The 9,527-nt window shown below is 42.3% G+C and overlaps 1 pseudogene; it reads right to left on the minus strand.

Annotated features, from left to right (window-relative positions):
* On the minus strand, positions 473-8,827 carry MARCKSP1 (myristoylated alanine rich protein kinase C substrate pseudogene 1; annotated as a pseudogene).

A 9,527-nucleotide genomic window follows, 5' to 3' on the forward strand; every position in this document is an offset into this window, starting at 1 on the left:
AGTGAAATGTGGGACCAGCCATGCTATATTATTAATTTTGCAAAGCTTGCTGACAGTGACCTCTCCAGCAGTAGCATTCACTCTTTTGCCTTAAAAAATTTCCCACAAAAGCTCTCCACTAGGCATAAGCATTACTCTTAGTCCTCCCACTGCTTCAGTGTGGCACAGTCATCAGTAATATGTAGATTTCCACTTTGGCTAGGGTCTATTTCTCTGCTTTGCTCAGAAGGTACCACTGACCTTTCTGATTAGCTGAGTTGCAGATGACTGAGCTTGCACATAAAAGGGACAGTCAGAAAATAAATCTTCCCTGTGTCTGTCTAGACAGACTCCAAGAGTCAGGAAAAATTCTGCTGAAAGTCCATAAATCTTCCATCTTTCTTCCTGAAAGCATGTACGAGAACAGTTCTCCTGTCACTACGTATGAGAGCATTCCTGAATGTGTGGGTAGGGTTTTTGATGTCAATTTTTTTTATATCAACTGGTAAAACTTTATTTTACAAGCAACAGGAATTGGATCAAATGATTATTATAATCCAGAGGAAATATTTTGGAACCACAGCAAATGCCATTATACATACTGCCAATACAGATTTAATAGACAATACTGAACTGTACAAGAGTTATTTATTTTTCCTTAATCTCGAAGCTATTTTTAGTAATACAAAAAAGCCATATTAACATTTTTTTCCCGTTAGAAAACATGATGTACAAAACTTTGGATGAAAAGATAAGTCAAATTTCGTTTAATCACTTGGAGGAAAATCCACCAACTCTCTCAATACCACCTTTCACTCGCGTCCGTGTGAAGAGACCACCAAACAGGCGTTGTGTGAGCAATAAAGCTGTTTATTTCACCTGGGTGCAGGCGGGCGGGCTGAGTCCAAAAAGAGAGTCAGCGAAGGGAGATAGGGGTGGGGCCGTTTTATAGGATTTGGGTAGGTAAAGGAAAAAGGGGGGTTGTTCTCTGGTGGGCAGGAGTGGGGGTCACAAGGTGCTCAGTGGGGGAGCTTTTTGAGCCAGGATGAGCCAGGAGAAGGAATTTCACAAGACAATGTCATCAGTTAAGGCAGGAACAGGCCATTTTCACTTCTTTTGTGGTGGAATGTCATCAGTTAAGGCAGGAACCGGCCATCTGGATGTGTATGTGCAGGTCACAGGGGATATGATGGCTTAGCTTGGGCTCAGAGGCCTGACGTTCCTGTCTTCTTATATTAATAAGAAGAATAAAACAAAATAGTGTCGAAGTGTTGGGGCGGCGAAACATTTTTGGCAGGGGGTGGTATGGAGAGAGAGAATGGGTGATGTTTCTCAGGATTAGGGGAGGCGTGGGAACCTGGAGTGGGAGAGATTAAGCTGAAGGAAGATTTTGTGGTAAGGGGTGATATTGTGGGGTTATTGGAAGAAACATTTGTCATGTAGAATTATTGGTGATGGCCTGGATACGGTTTTATATGAATTGAAAAACTAAATGGAATAAGAGAAGGAGAAAACCAGGTATTAAAGTTCTAAGAATGGGGAGGACCTAGGACATGTAATTAGAGAGTGCTTAAGGAGATTTAGCATAGTTCTGCCAGCAAAGATTATTTATTTAAGAGTTAAGAGTGGCAGTTTGGGGATAGCACCAGGAGATATCAGCTGTGATAGCTTGGAGAAACAGTGTAAACTGGCAGTGTAAACAAGAGCAGGGCACGTATGAGTAGTTGAGAACAGTGAACAGGAGTATGACTAGACAGAAGATAGTAGGGATGACAAGTTTTTTTGGGGCACAGTCTTAAGTTGGTCTGGTGTCTGGAATAAGACTGGGGCCTAATAAAAAGGAGCGTCCATACAGGAGCTTAAATGTGCTGTACCTTGTAGGATTCCGAGGACAGGCCTGAATTCTGAGAAGGGAAAGTGGTAAAAGTACTGTCCAGTTCTTTTTAAGTTGGTGGCTGAGCTTGGTGAGGTGTGTTTTTAAAAGACTATTAGTCTGTTCTACCTTTTCTGAAGACTGAGGACCGTAAGGGGTATAAAGGTTTCACTGAATACCAAGAGCCTGAAAAGCCGGTCTGCTATTGGACTGTATAGAGGTGGGAAGGCCAAAGCGAGGAATTATGTGTGACAGAGGGGAAGAAATGACTGCGGTGACCTTTTCAGACCCTGTGGGAAAGGCCTCTACCTATCCAGTGAAAGTGTCTACCTAGACTAAGAGGTATTTTAGTTTCCTGACTCAGGGCATGTTGAGTAAAGCTACTTTCCCAGTCCTGGGTGGGGGCAAATCCTTGAGCTTGATGTGTAGGGAAGGGAGGGGGCCTGAATAATCCCTGAGGGGTAGTAGAATAGCAGATGGAACACTGAGAAGTTATTTCCTTGAGGATAGATTTCTACGATGGAAAGGAAATGAGAGGTTCTAAGAGGCGGGCTAGTGGCTTATACTATAGCATAGCCTGCCTTTGCTGGTGTGGTGATTAGGCCTGGTGGAACTGCCATCAATAAACTAAGTGTGATCAGGGTGAGGAATAGGAAAGAAGGAAATATGGGGAAATGGGGTGGAATGTCAGGTGCATCAGAGAGATACAGTCATAGGGGTCAGGTGTGGTATCAGGAATAATGTGGGAGGCCGGATTGAAGTCCGGACCAGGAACAATGGTAATTGTGGGAGACTCAACAAAGAGTGAGTACAGCTGAAGGAGCTGGGGAGCAGAAAGTATATGCGTCAGGTGTGAGGAAGAAAATAGCTGGGGAGCAGAAAGTATATGCGTCAGGTGTGAGGAAGTTATGAGAACTGTTGAGAGTGAGTTGAGCATAGTTTGTGATTTTAAGGGCCTCTAAAAGTATTAGGGCAGTGGTGGCCACTGCACGCAGACTTGAGGGCTAGGCAAAACAGTAAGGTCAAGTTGTTTGGATAAAAAGGCTACAGGGTGTAGTCCTGGTTCTTGTGTAAGAATTCTAACTGCACAGGCCTGCACTTTGGCTGTGGGTAATGAAAAGGGTTGGGATTTGTCAGGGAGAGCTAGGGTGGGGGCAGTCTCTAAAGCTGTCTTCAAGGAACGGAAAGAGGAATGGGGAAAGGATTTAGGATCTATGGGGTCAGCTAGGTTTCTTTTTGTGAGTTTATATAATGGTTTTGTTAGGATAGCAAAACCAGGTATCTAAAGTCGAAAGTGTCTAACCATGCCCAGGAAGGAAAGGAGTTGTCGTTTTATAGCTGTTGGGGTTTGAGATATCAGCTGAACAGGATCAGCAGGGAGAGCACGTGTGTTTTTATGAGAATTACGCTGAGATAGGTAACAGCTGAGGAAGAAATTTGGGCTTGACTGAAGTAATGGGGGCTGTCTGTGAAGCTTGCAGCAGTACAGCCCAGGTAATTTGCTGAGCCTGATGGGTGTCAGGGTCAGTCCAAGTGAAAGCGAAGAGAGGCTGGGATGAAGGGTGCAAAGGAATAGTAAAGAAAGCATGTTTGAGATCTAGAACAGAATAATGGGTTGTGGAGGGAGGTATTGAGGATAGGAGAGTATATGGGTTTGGCACCATAGGGTGGATAGGCAAAATAATTTGGTTGATAAGGTGCAGATCCTGAACTAACCTGTAAGGCTTGTCTGGTTCTAGGACAGGTAAAATGGAGGAATTGTAAGGAGAGTTTATAGGCTTTAAAAGGCCATGCTGTAACAGGTGAGTGATAACAGGCTTTAATCCTTTTAAAGCGTGCTGTGGGATGGGATATTGGTACTGAGCGGGGTAAGGGTGATTAGGTTTTAATGAGATGGTAAGGGGTGGATTATAGGTCGCTAAGGAGGGAGTAGAGGTATCTTATACTTGTGGGTTAAGGTGGGGAGATATAAGGGGAGGATGTGAAGGAGGCTTTGAACTGGGGGAAAAGGTGGCAATGAGGTGTGTCTGTAGCCCAGGAATAGTCAGGGAAGCAGATAATTTAGTTAAAATATCTCGGCCTAATAAGGGAACTGGGCAGGTGGGGATAACTAAAAGGATTGCTTAAAAGAGTATTGTCTAAGTTGGCACCAGAGCTGGGGAGTTTTAAGAGGTTTAGAAACCTGGCTGTCAATACAACAGTTATGGAGGCAAGGGAAACAGGCCTTTGAAAAGAAGGTAATGTGGAGTGGGTAGCCTCCGTATTGATTAAGAAGGGGATGGACTTACCTTCCACTGTGAGAGTTACCTAGAGCGTCTGTGATGGTCTTGTAGGCTTCTGAGGCAATCCGGCAGTATCAGTCTTCAGCTGCTAAGCTGAGAAGATCTGGGAAGGAGTCAGAGAGCCTTGGGCCAGAGTTCCAGGGGCTCTGGAAGTGGCTGCCAGGTGAGTTGAACAGTCCGATTTTCAGTGGGGTCCTGCACAGATGGGACACAGCTTAGGAGGAATCTTGGGCTGTGGGCATTCCTTGGCCCAGTGGCCAGATTTCCAGAGCTTGTAGCAAGCTCCTGGGGGAGGCAGGCCTGGAGGAATGCCTGGCCACTGAGGTTTAGGCGTTTAGAAGTTCTTGTGTGCTGGAGATGTGGCTGGGGTTTGTCTCATAGTGGAGGCAAGGAATTGCAACTCAGAAATATGTTGCTACTTGGCTGCCTCTACTCTATTATTGTACACCTTGAAGGCGAGGTTAATTAAGTCCTGTTGTGGAGTTTGAGGGCCGGAATTTAATTTTTGGAGTTTTATTTAATGTCGGGAGGAGATTGGGTAATAAAATGTATATTGAGAATAAGACGGCCTTTTGACCTTTCAGGGTCTAGGGCTGTAAAGCATCTCAGGGTTGCTGCCAAACGAGCCATGAACTGGGCTGGGTTTTTATATTTGATGAAAAAGAGCCTAAACGCTATCTGATTTGGGATAAAGAAAAAGGAGCATTAACCTTGACTATGCCTTTAGCTCTAGCCACCTTTTTAAGAGGAAATTGCTGGGCAGGTGGGGGAAGGCTAGTCACAGAATGAAACTGGAAGCCAGACCAGGTGTGAGGAGGGGAGGTGATAAAAGGATTATAGGGTGGAGGAGCAGAGGCTGAGGAAGAATTGGGACTTAGCCTGGCGAGGAGGGGAGAAGTCAGATGAGTCTGTAGAAAAGGACTATTAGAAAGACTCAGTGACACCTGGGGTTGGGACTGAGGGGACAGGCAGGAGGGAAAGAAGGAAGATTTGGGACTAGTTGCATTGGGAACAGAGACTAAGGAGGGATTGATGTGTAAAAGAATGGCTGGACGTCAGGCACCTCAGACCGTTTGCCTATTTTATGACAAGAATTATTTAGATCTTGTAGGATGGAAAAATTGAAAGTGCCATTTTCTGGCTATTTGGAACTACCGTCGAATTTGTATTGGGGTCAAGCAGCATTGCAGAAGAAAATAAGACGCTTAGATTTTAGGTCAGGCGAGAGTTGAAGAGGTTTTAAGTTCTTAAGAACACAGACTAAGGGAGAAGAAGGAGGAATGGAGGGTGGAATGTTGCCTATAGTGAAGGAGGCAAGTTTAAAGAGAAGGGTAGAGACGTGGAGTAGGGGATGGGGAGCAGCCAAAGCAGGCATCCCCGCAATTGACTTGCCACCAAGGGAACGTGGGTGAATGACCAAGGCAGGTGTCCCTGCGGAGATCAGACACCAATGGAATGTGGGTGAATAATCAGAGAGGCATCCTTGCAATGATTAAACACCAAGGGAAGGCTGCCTTCCCGAGTCCATGACCGGCACCGGAGTTTTGGGTCCGTGGATAAAATGTGTCTCCTTTGTCTCTACCAGAAAGTGAAAGGAATTGAAATTAAGAGAAGGGAGAGATTGAAGTGTGGTGCCAAGATTGAAAGGAGAAAGAGGTTGAGAGATAGTGAGGGAGGTTGGAGAAGAGAGTAAAAAGAGGCTGCTTACCGGATTTGAAATTGGTGAGATGTTCCTTGGGCTGGTGGGTCTGAGGACCCGAGGTCATAGGTGGATCTTTTTCACGGAGCAAAGAGCAGGAGGACAGGGGATTGATCTCCCAAGGGAGGTCCCCCACTCCGAGTCACGGCACCAACACCAAATTTCACTCGTGTCCATGTGAAGAGACCACCAAACAGGCTTTGTGTGAGCAATAAAGCTGTTTATTTCACCTGGGTGCAGGCGGGCTGAGTCCGAAAAGAGAGTCAGCGAAGGGAGATAGGAGTGGGGCCGTTTTATAGGAGTTGGGTAGGTAAAGGAAAAAGGGGGGTTGTTCTCTGGTGGGCAGGAGTGGGGGGGTCACAAGGTGCTCAGCAGGGGAGCTTTTGAGCCAGGATGAGCCAGGAGAAGGAATTTCACAAGACAATGTCATCAGTTAAGGCAGGAACAAGCCATTTTCATTTCTTTTGTGGTGGAATGTCATCAGTTAAGGCAGGAACCAGCTATCTGGATGTGTATGTGCAAGTCACAGGGGATATGATGGCTTAGCTTAGGCTCAGAGGCCTGACACCACCCAAAGTGTTTTATGCAGTGAATAAAATCAAAATAATGCATCTTAATAAATTCCAGCTGTTAAAAGAACAAACTTAGCAATATATAACAGTTTGCTACGCAGGATTTTTGACTATTCACTTTGGGAGTTATTTTTTAAAATCCACTTTTTTTTACTGAGTCTTACTACATATCAGGCACTGGACTTGGCCATCTAGGTAACTAAGAAAAAGTTGGTTAAGATAGGAAAGACCCATAAATCAATCCTTTGATTACCAAATGCAATTTTTAACTTTCAAACATCCCCAAGATCAAGAAACCCTAACTAAAAATACATACCCTTCTAAGTGTTATTTGATTTTATTAGTAGCAAGGGTGTTTGGTAAGGTCGTGAACCTCTATTTTTGATCCATTATTCCAATTAAAAGCATGCGTCAAAAGCTAATTTGTTATTTTTCTAATGTGTTTAAGATTTGGCATTCAGTTTTTACACATGTGGTTCAGTGATTTATCATGAACCCTAAACTGCACACTGCTCAAAAACAGCAACACAGATGTGCGTTACATGAAATAATGGTTTTTGATACATATCTTCAAATTCAATTCAGTTTAGGGTCCAGTGAAGAAAAAGATATCCAGTTATCGGGTGGTAAAGAGCAGAGGAGGTAAACTAGTTAAGATTATTAATATGCAGTGAAGTGTTATTGTCTATCTTATCCTTTGAGTAACAAGATGCTAACACGCTTTCAAGAAAAAACTGCTTAAAACTATGCTAAAGGCCCATGCATTGACATCATCCATTCAACACCGTTACTTTGTTACATAAAACGGTTTTCTTAAGGTGTAACATATTAGGCAATAATTTGGAAATTAGCCAAGCACTAAGCAATTATAATAGCAGGTAATACACCATCAATTTTTGAAACACATTTGGCCACATTTCACAATCCATCTGCAGTATGGATTCTATAGACTCTCACTCAGTTTAAAATTTGTTTCTGGACCTGAATGACAGGAGAATGGCTTTATGAAATTTTCTCATAAGACATTTAAGTAGTCTTAGGTTCACAACCCTTTTGTTGTAAATGATTTAATCTGACATGCCATATAACTACAATACAAATAATTATGTTCAATTCTTAAATGAAAACTAAATGCCAATAAATGGTAACAGATTTGACATGGAATGTTCTAAGATCTTCCTCTACATAATCTGCCATGGCAGATTATGAATTTCAGAGCTTGAAAACTTCAGATTAAGAACCACAAGAAAATTTACTCTTGATGGCATACAAGATCTTCCTAAAAATTAACCTAAGACCTAGAAGTCTCAGTATTATTAGAACATAAAGAAACGCAACAAATCTGTATATTTTATTCACATATATTTTTGTTTTTAGTGTGCTCACAGAAAATTAGAACACCTTAAGTAGGAGTTTAATAGCAATTTTTGTAAGCAAAGTTACATTCCATCTCTAAGTCAAATTGGTCGACGCTTCTCCAGCATTTACAAAACATGATAGACAAGATGCTACACAAAACCATTGCATCTGAAGATTTTTTTTTTCCTTTATTCTCAAAGATGACTGGAAAAGAAAGCATTATCTGCTGTAATCAAAAACATACCACAGTATAAACAGTAACCATTCCGCTTATCACAGCTTGGTTGAGTTTAAAATTTGTGTTTAAAAGGTCCAAGATGACTGCAGTTTTACAAAAATGGGCAGGGTGGAAAGTCGCAAACTTCATGTGCTTCTGGATATCAAGATTTGTTTTTATACAATAGTCACAGTTAAAAACACCCTGCTGGTAATACATAATTACACTTTATTAAGGTCATAAACCAGCAATAAACAATACAGCCTATATAACTTGTAGTTCTACTTAATCACTGACTGGTACACCTAACATGAGATAAGTGAAAAGTTCCTATGGTTTAAATGAACTCCTAAGACTATGATCATTTTTTTTTTTTTAAATATGGGTATTGGTGTTTTTTCTTTTTTCCTCTTTCCTTCTTAGTCAAGACTTGTAGTGTTGTAAACCTGCCTCACAAAATACATGGTAATAACTTTTCTTAAAAAAAAAGACAGCCTTTACACCATTTCTAGTGGCACATTATTTTGGCAATGTTATGTACCACTTCCATTTCCCCATTGTGACCCCTATCACTTCATTTGATATCCCTTTTTGACCCACCCATCTCTTTCATATATGGGCATATCCATAGATTGACAAAGGAAGTTTACATTTTTGGATAAAGATGGAGAGTATGCAAAAACATTAATACTGATGCAAAAAAATAAAAAAATAGAAACAAGGCAGAGGAAGAAGGTGTTTAAGCTCTCCTCGACCTGTTGGAATGGTGGTTAACAGAATGATTTGAGATGGGATCTGTGGGGAGGGGAGAAAAAAAACAAAATTTTGTGCTTAAAAAAAGTAAAAGATTGATGTCAAATATTTGTACTAAGATTGCGGGTGGCAAGAGTTAGCATCCTGCAGTTAGAAGCAAAATTAGAGATTTGGACTGGTCAAGGACAGCATTGATATGTGTGGGGTATGTAAATCACCCAAGCTCTGCAAAAGTACTGAGAATAACTTGTATTTTCCAGACTGAAAACCTACCATGATGGGGAGGGATTGAAGTGGGCCCTGGAACAACTCCGGAATACATTACAAGCTTAAGGGGAGAGCAAGGAATTTAGACCATAGAGCTCATCATTCATCATTTTATTCCACATAAAATGGGTGTTTCAGCATGTCCAAAAGCATAGATAAGGAAATTGAGCTTCCCAAGAAGTTAAGCCAGTTGTTTGCAGTTAGAGAAAGCATGTTTTTATGAAGCTGTCCTACCCAGGAGCGGGGAACAGGTCCCTGGGCTCTATGACCATGGAAATCTCTAGATGAGTAAAAGAAAGCTTGGCAAAAATTGGGCAGGATCCTCAAACAAAGATTGAGAAAGGCTTTTCTCATCTGTGAATCAGAGTTCTGGACTTTCCTGAGGATGAGAACAGCTGCATGGCTGAAATGCAGCAGCCCAGAGCAAAGAGGGTGCTCCCTGGGGGGTCACAGCTGGTGAAGACTGAAAATCCAGATCCTAAAATTCAACCAGACCTATCATACCAGCAGGCCACCACGAAATGAC

Source organism: Homo sapiens, chromosome 21 (assembly GCF_000001405.40).
Source record: "Homo sapiens chromosome 21, GRCh38.p14 Primary Assembly".
In the NCBI taxonomy this organism is placed as follows: Eukaryota; Metazoa; Chordata; class Mammalia; order Primates; family Hominidae; genus Homo; species Homo sapiens.